The following is a 14825-nucleotide window of genomic DNA, read 5'->3' as shown; positions in this document are numbered from 1 at the left end:
TATGAATAAGACTACTATAAATATTCTTGTGTAAATATTTTATAGGCATGATTTTTCTTACATTTTGCATAAATAGAAGTCCTAAGTGTATGCTTAATTTTTAAAGAAATTATTAATTGTTCAAAACAATCATAATATTTTTCATGGTAACTGGAAATATTTGAAATATTTGGAATTTCTGGTTTCTCCAAATTATTGCTTACATTTTTATGATTAGTCATTTTCTGTTTACTGAAATCTTAACCATTTGTGTGTGTGTGTGTATGTGTGTGTGTGTGTGTGTGTGTGTGTGTGTACTAAACAGTGGTCCTGATTTGGATTCCTTAATAACTATTGATATTGAAAACCTTTTCATATGCTTATTGGTCATCTGTGTGTCATCTTTTCCGATGTATTTGATTAAGATTTTGCCCATTTTTAATTTTCAATATGTAGAAATTCTTTATGTATTCCAAATATGTGTTTTACTGTTAGAAAAAAAGTATTGGGACTGTATTCTCCAAATATGTTTATTATCTATTTTTTTTTTTTTTTTTTTTTTTGATACGGAGTCTCACTCTGTTGCCCAGACTGGACTGCAGTGGTGTGATCTTGGCTCACTGCAAGCTCAGCCTCCTGGATTCACGCCATTCTCTTGCATCAGCCTCCAGAGTAGCTGGGACTATAGGCACCTGCCACCATGCCCAGCTAATGTTTTGTATTTTTAGTAGAGACAGGGTTTCATCATCTTGGCCAGGCTGGTCTCGATCTCCTGACCTTGTGATCCACCCTCCTCGGCCTCCCAAAGTGCTGGGATTACAGGGGCGAGCCACCACGGCCAGCCAAATATGTTTATTATCTTATAATTTTTTTAATTATTTTATTTGATGGGCAGGTATTTTAAATTATACAGAGTCTAACTCATTTTTTTCTTTTCCTATGCTGCATGCTAGATATTTTCCAGAACATTTACACCTACGTTATTGTTACAAAGTATATTTTTAGCTTTTTACGTATATAACTTCTCTGACAGGAATTTATGTATTGAGAATGACACAGGTAAAAATTATGACTTTTTTTTTTTAATATAGATATTCATGCTCCTTAGTTTTTGTGGGAAAACTCCACCAGGGGCAGTGTTCTAGTTCCATGGATTGACTGGGTACCTTGGTCAAAACTCAACTGTCCCCGTATGTGAGACTCTATATCTACACTTTTATCCTGTTCCATGGATCGATTTGTCTTATACTGCTCCACACATAAACCTGAGTAGGATTTCTTGGATTGACCAGGGCATCATCTTGAACGTCTTTTTTGAACATTATTTAAGTTAGTCTAGTCTGTTGCATGTGACCCCCACTTTTTGACAGAAAGCAAACAAGAATAATTGTCTACCCACCCCCGCCAGAAAAAACTCTACAACTCCAGGCCATCCACAATGCTGTAACTAATTACTGAGTTAAAATTTCCATGCAATAAGCGATATATATAGTTATACAACCATTTTTATTACATGCAATAAACTATAAACATGTGTGTATTTAAAGTATACTATTTGATAAGTTTTGACTTATCAAATGTTTACACCATGGTACTAACATGCCATCAAAATAATTAATTTATCCATCAACTCCAAAATTTCTGTCTACTCCCTGATAACCTCTCCCTCTGACATACTTCGGGCAACCACTGACCTGCTTTGTAGAACCATTAAGATTGGTTTATATTTTCCAGAATTTTGTTGAGATGAATTCATATATTATACACTCCTTTTGGTAGGGAAGAAGGGGTGTCTGTTTTACTCAATTATACTGATTCATCCATGTCATGCTTACCAATAGTTTATTTTTTATAACTGAATAGTATTCTATTGTGTTTTCTCCATTTTATTGCTATTAAAAATAGAATAGCTATTAAAAAAGTGCTTGAAATGTCTGAAGACAAATGCTTTCATTTCTCTTAATACCTAAGAGTGGAAATATAATGATACATTCAAGGTGTTTTACCTTTTATTAATTTAGCAGGGTCTTGAAAGACCGACTCTGAATTTTAATCAAATGTATCAATTTGTTTCTTTGTGGGTCATGCTTTTGTTATTGTGACTAAGAAACATTTGCCTATTATAAGATAATAAATTTTCTTTCCTATATCTTCTTGTAGAATTCTCACAGTTTTAGGTTTATATTTAGTTCTACTATCCACTTTGAATTGAGTTTTGTATACAGTGCAAGGTATAGACTATCTGCATATGGATATTAAGTTATTGTAGAACCATTTTTGGTAAGCCTATGTTTTTTCCACTCAGTTGCCTTTTGACAACTTTGTCAAAAGTTAGATTAGAGTTAGCACTCCATATCTGTGGATTTCACATCTGTGAATTCAACATAACCACAGATTAAAAAAAAATTAAAAAATAAAATCCATCAGTTGCATCTGTACTAGGCAGATATTCTTCCTTGTCATAATTCCCTAAGCAATATAGTAGAACCACTATTCATATAGAATTTATACTGCATTATATAGGATAATTAATCTAAAGATGATTTAAAGTATATGAGAGGATGTATGTAGCTTATATGCAGTACTATGCCATTTTATATAAGGGACTTGGGCATCTGTGGATTTTGGTGTCTGAGGGGGATCCTGAAACCAATCATCTACCGATATGACAGGACAACTATATATACCTGTGGGAGGCTATTTCAGGGCTCCCCATTCTTTCCAATTGATCTATTTTTCAATAATGCCAAACCACACTTTGTTGAATATTTTAGCTTTATTCAGTCTTGAAGTCAAATGTTGTGTTGAAGAATGTCTGGGAAAACCAAATAGAGCCATGTGAAGTAGAGCAGCACATCAATCAAAATAAATGTCAGTGTTCATAATTAAACATAATAGAAATTAAAAGCACATAGACTATATACTGAATAATAGAATATAATAAATAATTTCATGACAATTCCTTTATTTTGAACACTCAGTTAACTTCTGAATAAATATCACATCATTTTATGTTATTCCCTAAACCAATAATTTTCTGACCTATTGCTGTCTCTGAAATAAACTACAAAATCTGAGGGATCTCTATGCCAGTAGATGCCAATGAAGGTTTAATAAGGAGCCTATTTCCAAAGAATTCTTGATAAAAATAATGCTCACTGTCTTGTTTCTTTTAAAATATCTCCATGAATAAACATTTAAATGAAATTTAAGCTGTATTATATCAGGTTAATACAACTTTATTAATGAATTTTGAAACAATATTCATGGATTATTGTATCTTTATGACTTAATTTTATCTATCACTGTCACTTTTATTTTTTGATTCTTATCATAGGCTGAATAGTACTCCCCTACCCTGAGATATATGGCTATATTCTAAGCTACAGAACTTATACATGTGGGGTCAGTTGGAGAAAGGTCTTTGCAGATGTTATTAATGTAAGGTTCTCAAGATGAGATCATCCTGGATTATCCAGGTAGGCCCTAAATCCAATAAAAAATGACCTTAAAAGATACCCAGAGGAGAGATATCTGAAGGAGAAGAGGCAATGTGACCAAGAAAGTAGAGATGAGAGTGATTCGGGAAAGGAAGCTTGGAAATTCCAGGAGGCACTGGAAGCTGGGAGAGGCTAGGAAAGAGTCTCCCCAGAATATGCAGGCTGTCTGTGGCTCTGCTATTTTGGATGTCTAGCCTCCAGAACTGTGAAAAAAAATTACCTATTGTTTTAAGCCCTCCAATTTTTGATAAATTTTACAGCATATTTAGGAAGCTCATTTAATTGTTATTAATATGTATTGATTTAGATGAATATTTCTATTGTTTAATATTAGAAAAAACTGGCCAGGCATGGTGGCTCACACCTACAATCCTAGCACTGTGGGAGGCCGAGGCAGGGGGATCTCTACTGCTAACACTACTACTACTACTAGTAGTAATAATAATTATAAATACAACATTTTGTATAACAGTACAAACTACAAGGTGTTGTAATGACCTAATGTCATTAAAGAATCATTTTATCATAACATACGGCCACTTGCTTATGAGTCATAAGCTACTTTGTAAGCCCACTGAATTTTATGGATAAGAGCCCATTTCCCTTAAAAATGCATAACATGAAGGAATGGAATGTGTTGTTAAGGGTTCCTAAACTACATGTTAAATTTTGTAATGTTACCTGAATATAGAATGTTATGAGTTAAAAATATAAACTATAAACTTTAGTGAAACTACTAATATATACATGATTTACAGTAAATAATGTAACAAAGGGTAAAAATGGAATATAAAAATTGCTACATGTTAAGAGTTTTATATGTGAATTTACTTATGTTGGTAAATTAATATTTTATTTTTTCTAATTTTGTTAAAATATGCTTGATATATTGATTTTCAAATGAAACATTTATTCGGTTCTCCACAAAAATGATGAATCTTTTACTATATAAATTGCTCTCTTCAAGGCAACAAGTCTCCAAAGAAAATACAAACAATGAAACCACACAAAAAAAATTGCCTAATTTAGTCAAAGGTAGCATAAAAAGAGAAAATGTGAATCAAATAAGTTAGAATAAATTTTTTTAAATTTTTAATTGCTATTAATATGTACATTAAATGTATGTGGTCAGAACAGCTAAATTAAATAGAAGAGATGGTAATATTGGATTTAGAAAAGCAAAATCCAATGATATGCTTCTTATATGAAACTACTTTAAATATAAAGTAAGTTAAAAGGAAAATATAGAATATTATAGGCCATGCTTACATTAATAAAAAATAAACTATCATTATTAACGACAAAAATAAGATTAGGAGCAAACAAATAATGTTAGGGAGGGGAGGGCTATTGCATAATAAATAAGGAGCCAATTAACCAATCAGATTTATACACCTTAATGCAGATCATCAAAAGACATAAAGCAGAATCTGGTAGATCTTCTGTCTCTACCAATAATAGACAACTTCACAGTTATAGTCAAAGATTTTAACTCTTACAAAAATTACCAACTATATAGAATACTTAAATAGTATGATAATCTAAAGTGGTCTAATTTATCCAGAAATAACAGAATATAGTTTTCTTAAGATTCCATGAACAATTTATCAAAGTGAACTATATTTTTATGGACCATAATATACATCTCAATAAATTTAAAATGATTTAATTCATGCATGAATGCTCTCTGACCAAAATAGAATTAAATTGGAAGTCAATAACAGAATAGTAACTGGGAAATCCTCTAGTAACTAAAGCTTAAATACACTTTTTTTTTTTTCAGAGACGGAATCTCGCTGTGTCACCCAGGCTGGAGTGCAGTGGTGCTATCTTGACTCAACTCACTGCAACCTCTGAATCCCGGATTCAAGCGATTCTCCTGCCTCAGCCTCCTGAGTAGCTGGGACTACAGGTGGGCACACCACGCCTAGCTAATTTTTGTATTTTTAGTAGAGAAAGGGTTTCACCATGTTGGTCAGGCTGATTGCGAACTCCTGACCCCGTGATCCGCCCAATTCAGCCTCCTCAAGTGTTGGGATTACAGGCGTGAGCCACCTCCCTGGCCGTAAATAGACTTTTAAATAACCCATAAGTGAACGAAGAAATCACCCATAAGTGAACGAAGAAATCAAAGGGAAGCTAAGAAAGTATTGTGACCTGAATGACAATGAAAACATAAAATATCAAAAATTGTACATTGCAAGTGAAGAAGCTTCAGTGTGAAATTTATAACACTAAATGCCTATATTGGAAACAAAAAAGGGATCTCAAACTAATAACCTCAGCTCCCACCTGAGAACAATAAAAATACAGTAAATGATACTTGAAGTGAGCAGAAGAAAATAATAAATATCAATGTGGAAATCAGTGAAATAAATAATGAAAATCAGTAGAATAAACGTAACTAAAATAGAAAATTTGTTCTTTTTGAAAATCCGTATAATTTTTAAACTTCTCTCTCGAATGATCAGGAAAAATATAGGCGACACAAATTACCAAAATCAGGAATAAGAGAAATTATCATCAATGATCCTTCAGAAGTTAAAATTACCTTAACAGGATATTAGGAATAGCTTTTTGCCAACCAATAAGACAACATAGATAAAATTTTAAAAATTACCCGAACTATATTATTTACCAGAACTGACTGAAAAGAAAATCGAAAACCTGAATAGACCCAAGAAGTAATAAAAATTAGGTCATAATAAAAATCTTTGTATAAATATAATTCTAGGCTTAGATTGCATCACAGGTAAATTTTATCAAACACTGAAGAAGAAACAATACCACTACAACATAAACTTTCAGAATGTAGAGAAGAAGGAAAAATTACTAACCTAACCTATGAAGCCAGAATTGAGGTGATACCAAAGCAAAATGGAGGCTTTATTAGTGTAGAAAACTACATACTAATATTTCTCACCAAAAGATGCAATATCATTACAAAATGTTAACATGTTGATTCTGAAAACATATTTAAAGGATTCTACAGCATAACCAACTGGGTGTATCCCAGGAATTAATGTATCCTACAATACAAAGAAGATTTAAGATTGGAAGCAAAATAATCTAGTATACCACTTCAGCAGAATAAAGAACAAAAGCTACCAGATTTCTCAAATAGATGAAGAAAAACTATCTTACATAACTCATTACACATTATCCTTCAGTTTTTCAACAAACTAGAAGCAGAAAGGATTTTTTTCAACTTGATAAGAAATATCTACAAAAAAGCAAAAGTAAATAAGACACTTATTGTTTAAACACTGAATATTTTCTCCCTAGGATTTTCCAAATCAACCTATAAATTTAATACAAATGTTATTAAAATTCCAGAAGAATCATTTTAGAAGTTAAAAATCTGAACCTAAAATTAATATAAACTGCAAAGGAACTGCAATAGTAGAACAATTTTCAAAATGAATAAAGTTGGAGGACTTATACTACCTGATTTCAAATTTAATAAAAAGCTACAGTAATCGACATACATAAATCAAATAGACAATATAACAAGTCCAAATGTTGACCTATGGTCAGTTAATTTTTACACATTTTAAAAATGCTGGAACTGTTAGATTTATATGCAAAAAAGTAAAATTAGAACCTTACTTCATATTGTCTACAAAAACACTCCTAACGGTAAAAAAAAAAAAAAAAATTGCAAAACTTCTAACAAAATATTTCAGAAAATCCTCATAGGTTTGGATAAGGCAAAGTGTTCTCAGTTGTGACACAAAACTTTATCCACCCTTTTAAAAAACTGATATCACGATAAAAATATTTTGCTTTCAGAACATATCATTAAGTCCACAGAAAGATAAGGTACAGATTGGTAGAAAATATTTACAAATCATATATTCAAAAAAGAACTTTTATTTAAAGTCTATCAAGGACACTTCAATGAAGTAACAAAAAGACAACTCAATTATTGAAATGAGCACAAGTTTTGAATGTGGATTTCACCAAAGAAAGCATAAGAGTGGCTGATAAGCACATGAAAATATGTTCAAAATAATATCTCATTAGGGAAACGTAAGTTGAAATGTGACCACTAGAAAAGGCATAATCTGAAAGACAAATTGTGCTAACTCATGTTGAGAATATGGAGAAACTGGAACCCTCATACATTGCTGGTGGGAATATAAAACTACAGCCACTTTGGAACACTTTTTGGTAGTTTCTTTAAAAGCTTTATCTAAATTTACCATATAACCCAAGAATTTCACTCCTACGTAATTACTCAAGAGACATGAAAACATATGTTCACAGAAAGACTTGCACATAAATATTCTTAGCAGAATTATTCAAAATAGCAAAATACAAGAAATAGGCCATATTCCCATCAACTAGTGAATAAACAAAATATGCCACATACACATTTTAGAATCAAATAATATTCAGTAATAACAAACAATGAACTATTGACACATGCAACATTAATGAATCACAAAAACATTATGTTGAAAGAAAGAAAAACAAGATAATTCTTATTCTGGGATTCATTTTACATGTAATTTCTAGGAAATGCAAAATTATAGATTCTGAAAGCAGATCAGTGCTTGTCTGTGTCTCGGGGTGGGAAATGTTGACTGACAGAGGGAACAAGAAAAATTTTCTGAATGATGGAAATGTTGAAGTATTAGATTGTGGTGATTGTTTTACAACTGTAATAATTTACCAAAATTATACAACTGTATATTTACAATGTTAGATTTTATGGTGTACAAATTACATCTTAGTAAAGCTGTTTTCATTTACTTACTGTTTTAGCACAAATATATAAAGAACTTGGGAATTGTCATTCCCATCTTTACAACAAGAAAAATGCAGAACAAATTAAGGGTCAATGACTTGTTTTATAGTATCCATAAAGATCTGAACTTTTTAAGATCCACAGAGATTGTGGGTGAAGACCATCTCTGAAATCTGGAGAAACAGGCAAATACAGAAAATTGCAGCTGAAACAAAATCTCTTGAAGTCATAAACTGGTAAGAAAACTTAAATGGTAAATTGATGAATTGATAGATGCTGATTATGGACTAGTGTGAGAGTTGATAAACCCCTGAGAGCTACTGCTTGGGGGAAGGAGATAAACTTTTATGTGTTTTACCTTCACAAACTGACCAGACTTACACAGTGAAGAACTTAGAAAGATATCCTCATGACAAGCCATTTTGAATTGGGTCCAGAATGTACCTCTTATAAAAGGCCAATTCTCAGAATAAAAGACTTTACTAGAGCCTTATCCCTCTTAGGGATAGGGTGTTTATGCAACTTGAGACCCCTTTACTCTTCCAGGCTAACCTAAGGTGAGAGATTAAGAAACACTTGTGAAACTCAAAAGACAAGAACACAGACCACTAAAAGACAGAGACATAATCATAAATATATAAAACACCTTCTCTCCTCCACACCTTACCACCATGTCAATAGGACTTCAACATAATAACATTGGGTTACTACTGAAAGAGCTGCAAGGTGCAGACTCCATGTAGGGAACATTTTGTAGAGAAGCCCAAAGACAGCAGGAGAGATATAAAGGTCAAAAAGGAAACTACTGAAACCTGTGGCTACAGCAAACATTAAATACAGCCCTACTCTTAATTAGACTAACATAAAATTACAATAAATGCTGTTATCTGAGTTGCTTTTACCCAATACATCAAATGTAGCATTTGACTAAAAATTACAAGTCATGCTAAAAGTAAAGAAAGAAACCACACACCGAAGAGACAAATCATGTATCAGATCAGATTCAGATATGACACAGATTTTGGAATTATCAGACAAGGAATTTTAAATAACTATAATTAATATATGAGCTCTAAAGGACAAATTAGACAATATGCAGAAACATATGTGAAATGTAAGCAGAGACTGGGAAACTCTAAGAAAAAATCAAAAGAAAATGTTAGAAATCATAAACAATGTAACACGTTTGAAGAGTACCACTCAATGACATATTAGTAAATTGGGCATGGCTGAGAAAAGAATTAATGATTTTCAAGATACATTAAAATAAACATCCCAAAATGAAATGAAAGTAGAAAAATAAATGAAAACAACAACAACAACAACAAACTATCCAAGTACTGTAGGACAATTTCAAAATGTGTAACATTAATATAATTGGAATACCAGAGAGATATATGAGACCATAGCAGAAAACATACTTGATGTAATAATAATGGCTGGAAATTTTACGAAGTTGATGATAGGTATCGAAACACCAATCTGGGATGTTCAGAGAACATCAAGCAGATTAAGTACCAAACTGTCTATATTTAGACATATTATATTCAAATTGTAGAAAACCAAGTGCAAGGAAAAAAATCTTTGTAGAATATTTTGTAGAAAGTCTCTGTAGATGACTGATGACATTAACTATAGAAGAAAAAAGATAATAATTAGAGTAAACTCCCCATAAGATAACATGACAGCAAGAGAGTGGAGTTAAATATTTAAAGTATAGTAAGAACAAAATACCAAACTAGAATTTTATGTTTAATGAAATTATTCTTCAAAATAAAGGAGAAATAAAGTCTCTCTCCAACCAAAGGAAACTAAAAAAATTCATTTCCAGGAGATCTACCATGCAATAACTTTTAAAGGAACTTATTCTTGGAGAAGAAAATGTAATATATAATAGAAATTTAGACTTACTAAAGAAAGGAAATCATCAGAGGAGGAATAAAGATAAAATACCTTTTATTGTATCATATTCCCAAAGTGATCTAAAATATAACTGTATAAAGTAATAAATAGTGTTAATTGAAGGTGGACTTATTAGTTGTAAATGTACATTGCAAACTCTAGGACAGCTATTTAAAAATTCAAAATGTTGTATATTGATAAGCTAAAACTCATATAAAATGGAATAATACCAAAAATTCAATTAAATCCAGAGAAGATAGAAATAGAGGGGAAGGCAATACAAGAGTGAGAAGAAACAACAAACAGCAAATGCAACAAATAGAAAATAGTTACAAACATAGTAAACCTATAATCATTTTAAATGTAAGTGGTCATGATATACCAGTAAAAATACAGATTTTCAGAATAGATGAAAATATAAAACCCAACTTTATGTTGTCTCCAAGAACCTATTTGAATATCAACAGACAAAGAAAATAGATAGAGAAAGGAATGCCATGCTAGTTAACCCTTATCAAAATAAATCTGGAATGATTATATTAAGTTCAGACAAAGTAGACATTTAAAAACGGAAATTATGACTGATAATAAGGAACACTACATAGTGACGAAAAGGTCAATACTTGCATGTATTCTCTTGTGTGTACCTAATAACAAAGCATCAAAATCTGTGAGGCAAAAAAAAAAAAAAAAAACTGATAGAAATGAAACATAACGTAAAACATTCACCAAGGTAGAACATATTCTGGGACATAAACCACAGATTAACAAATTCAAAAAAATTGATATCATGCAAAGTATATTCTTAGATAACAATGGAATTAAACTAGAAATTAGTAACAGAAAGATAACTGTAAAATTCCAAAATATTTGAAGATTAAAAATCATACTTCTAAACATGTGCAAAGAAGAAATGATAAGATTAATTAAAAATATGTTTTGAAGTAAAGGAAAATGAAAATATAGGATCAAAATTTATGAGATGCAGCAAAAACAATGCTTAGAAGGAAATATGTAGCATTGAATGTGTAAACAAGAAGAGAAGAAAAATCTAAAATTTATAACGTATTTCTACCTTAGAAAACTAGAGAGAAGAATAGCACTTTAAGACAAAAGAGGAAAAATATAAATAATTTAAATAGAGCTGAAATCAATGTAATTTAAAATATAACAGCAATATAAATTAATAATAAAACCAAAAGCTGCTTCTTTGAAAACATCTATAAAATTGATAAACCTCTAGCCACGCTGACCAAGAAAAAAGATGTAAGTCACAATTTACCATTGTCAAAAAGGAAAAAGGGATCATCAGTACTGATCCTAGTGACATTTAATGGATAATAAAAAATATCATGAACAACTCTGTGCTTACAAATTTGGTAACTTAGATAAAATTGAGCAATTCCCTGAAAGACAAAACCTTCCAAAACATACTCAAGTAGAAGTGAATAATTTCTACAGACGTATATCTACTAAAAAATTAAATCAATAATTACTGACATTTAAAAAAAATGTCTCAGTTGGTTTAACTGGTGAATTCAATTAAAAACTTAAACACTTAAGAAAGAAATGATACCAGCATTGCCCTACTACTAAAATCAGAAAAGAAAATCACTTAGAAAAGAAAGCTAAAAATCAATATCTTTTCAATTCGAGATGCAAAATTTAAAAAAAAAATTAGCTAAATACAAGAATTTACAAAAAATGTACACCACAAGCAAGTAAAAACTATTCTAGATATGCAAAGCTGGTTCAACTTCCACAAATAAATTAATATAATCCACTCTGTCAACAGAGTGAAGAAAAAGTCATATGATCATGTAATAAGTATGGCAAAAGCATTTGACAACATCCAACACTCATTTATAATAAAATATCTCAGCACACTAGGAATAGAAGTGAAATTCCTCAATTTAATAATGAACACCCCCCAAAAATCTTATAGTTAATGTCATATTTAATGGTATTCCAAAGATTGAAAATGAGACGAGCTGTCTTCTCTTACTCTCCTATCACATACCATACTGGAAGTCCTAGCTAGAGCAATTTGACAAGAAAATAAATGAAAATAATGCCATTTAAAAAAGAAGAAATAAAACTGACTTTGTCTACAGATGACCTGATTGGCTAAGTGGAAAATTCCAAAAGATTCCATTAAGAAAATACTCTCAGAATTAAGAAGTGATATAGCAAGTTTAAGTGCAAAAAAAAAATATTTTTCTACGTACCAGCAACAAAGAATTGGAATTTGAGATTAAATATAATGCCATTTTAATAGCCTCAAAAATGTAATACTTAAGTAATCATATAACAAAATATGTGCATGACCTTGATGTGAAAAATGTAAAATTCTGATGACACAAATAAAAGGAAATCTAAACAGAGGTATATTGCATGTTGATGGATTGAACAAGTCAATAATGTTAAAATGGCATTTCTTCCCAAATTGATCTACAGATTAAATGTAATCCCAGTCATACCTCAGCAAGATATTTTGCATATGTCATCATGCTGATTGTCGAGTTTATATGAAAAGGCAAACAACTTAAGATAGTCAAAACAATACTAATGAAGTAGAACAAGCTGGAAGACTCATACTATTCAATTTCAAGATTTACTATAAAGCTACAAGATATCATGATACTGGCAACATATAGATACATAGGTGAATGGAACAAAATACAGAGCCTCAAAAGATATCCACACTAATATAGTCTACTGATCGTTGAGAAGAACTAAAGACAACTCAACGTAGAAAGGGTAGTCTTTTCATTATATGGTGTAAGAACAATGGGATATCCATTTGATAAAAGAAATAAATCTAGGTACAGACTCACAAACTACATCATTCACAAAAATTTAATCAAATGGATTACAAATTGAAATATAACATGGAAACAAAAGCTAAAACTGAAACAGTAGACATCTAGCAAGGATGCAGAAAAAAGGGAATCCTTGTACACTGTTGTTGGGAATGTAAATTAGTACAACCACTATGGACAACAGTTTGGAGGTTCCTAAAAAACTAAAAATAGAGTTACCATATGATCCAGCAATCTCACTGCTAAGTATGTACCCCCCAAAAAGGAAATCAGTGTTTTGAAGAGATACCTGCACTCCTATTATATGTTCATTGCAGCACGATTCACAATAGCCAAGATTGGAAGCAACCTTACAAAGAAAATGTGATACATATACACACTGAAGTGTTATTCAGCCATTAAAAGGAATGAGATCCTATCATTTGCAACAGGATGAGTGGAACTAGAGGTCATTATTTTAAGTGAGATAAGCCAGGCATAGAAAGACAAATTTTGTATGTTCTCACTTACTTGTGGGAGCTAAAAATCAACATAAGTAAACTCATAGAAATACAGAGTAGAATGATGATTACCAGAGGCTGGGAAGGGTAATGAGGGAGGGTGAGAGGGAACTGGGAATGGCAAATGAGCACAAACAAATACTGAGGATGAATTAAATCTAGCATTTGATAGAAAAACAGGGTGACTATAGTCAATAATAATTTAATTGTATATTTTAAAATAACTAAAAGTATAAAATTGGATTGTTTATAACACAAAGGATAAATTATTGAGGTGATAGATACCTCCTGACATGGTTTGAATCTGTCCCCACCGAATCTCATGTTGAATATAATCCCCAGTGTTGAAGGTGGGCCCTGGTGGGAGGTGATTGGATCACTGGGCCAGAGTTCTCATGAATGGGTTAGCACCATCCTCTTGGTGCTGTACTCATGATAGTGAGTGAGTGAATTATTAGAAGATCTGGTTGTTTAAAGGTGTATTGCACCTCTCCCCTTTCTGTCTTCCTCTTTCATCAGCCATGTGAAGACAGACACCTGCTCACGCTTTTCCTTCCACCATGATTGTAAGTTTCCTGAGACCACCCCAGAAGCAGATGCTGCCTTGCTTCCTGTACAGTCTGCAGAACTGTGAGCCAATTATTTGGTGTTATACAATTACTTTCAATGGCAAAAACCACACACATGTGATAATTTTAAGATAGTGTTCAGAGTTCTGAATAAAATGGATGTTAACTCTTAAAGAGTACTTGAAAAAAGCTGCCACAGTTTAAAATCGAGATAAGGGTATGAGGGAATGCATCTCTGAGAAGGGGACATTGAAGCTGAAACTTTAATGTTAAAATGTCTTATAAATATTGAGTATACTGATGGCTTCGTGGGAGAATTAATAAGTCAAACTCATCAAATTATACACTTAAATATGTATTATTTATTGTATGTCAATTATATCTCAGTAATACTGTTTTATAAAAAGGTTGATCCAGAAAATTCCTTAGGCATTTTCAAAGATGCTTCTGTAAGGGGAAAATAAGCTGATTGTTGTCACATAGGATGATCTTGGGAATGGCCAGGCAGGCATGCTTCCTAAGCTGACAGATACCAGCCATGATCTCTTGGTCTGTGTCCCCATGGGCTGTTAGAGAAGCTCCATCCGATGGCATTTGTCAATTCATCTCTCTGTGTGTCCATCTCTGTTTCCCTGGGTCTTCCCTGAATTTAATTCAAGTACCACTAAAGGTGGGGTCTCACCTGGAGCTGTGGTAGTTCATAGATTGTTCTGTGACTGCATTTAAGACATGACTGTTGTGGGGTGGGGGGATGGGGGAGGGATAGCATTAGGAGATATACCTAATGCTAACTGACAAGT

General features: G+C 31.9%; 1 long non-coding RNA gene across 1 annotated transcript; it reads left to right on the top strand.

The window, feature by feature from the left end:
- Positions 1-8366: 8366 nt before the first annotated feature.
- Positions 8367-14199, top strand: LOC124900846 (uncharacterized). The gene is made up of 2 exons (XR_007058443.1): positions 8367-8468; positions 13976-14199. It is a non-coding gene; the product is annotated as an uncharacterized LOC124900846 (long non-coding RNA).
- The last annotated feature ends 626 nt before the right edge of the window (positions 14200-14825 follow it).

The sequence above is a fragment of the Homo sapiens genome, chromosome 4 (genome assembly GCF_000001405.40).
Source record: "Homo sapiens chromosome 4, GRCh38.p14 Primary Assembly".
Taxonomy (NCBI): domain Eukaryota; kingdom Metazoa; phylum Chordata; class Mammalia; order Primates; family Hominidae; genus Homo; species Homo sapiens.
This window is presented reverse-complemented; position numbering and strand designations above follow the sequence as displayed.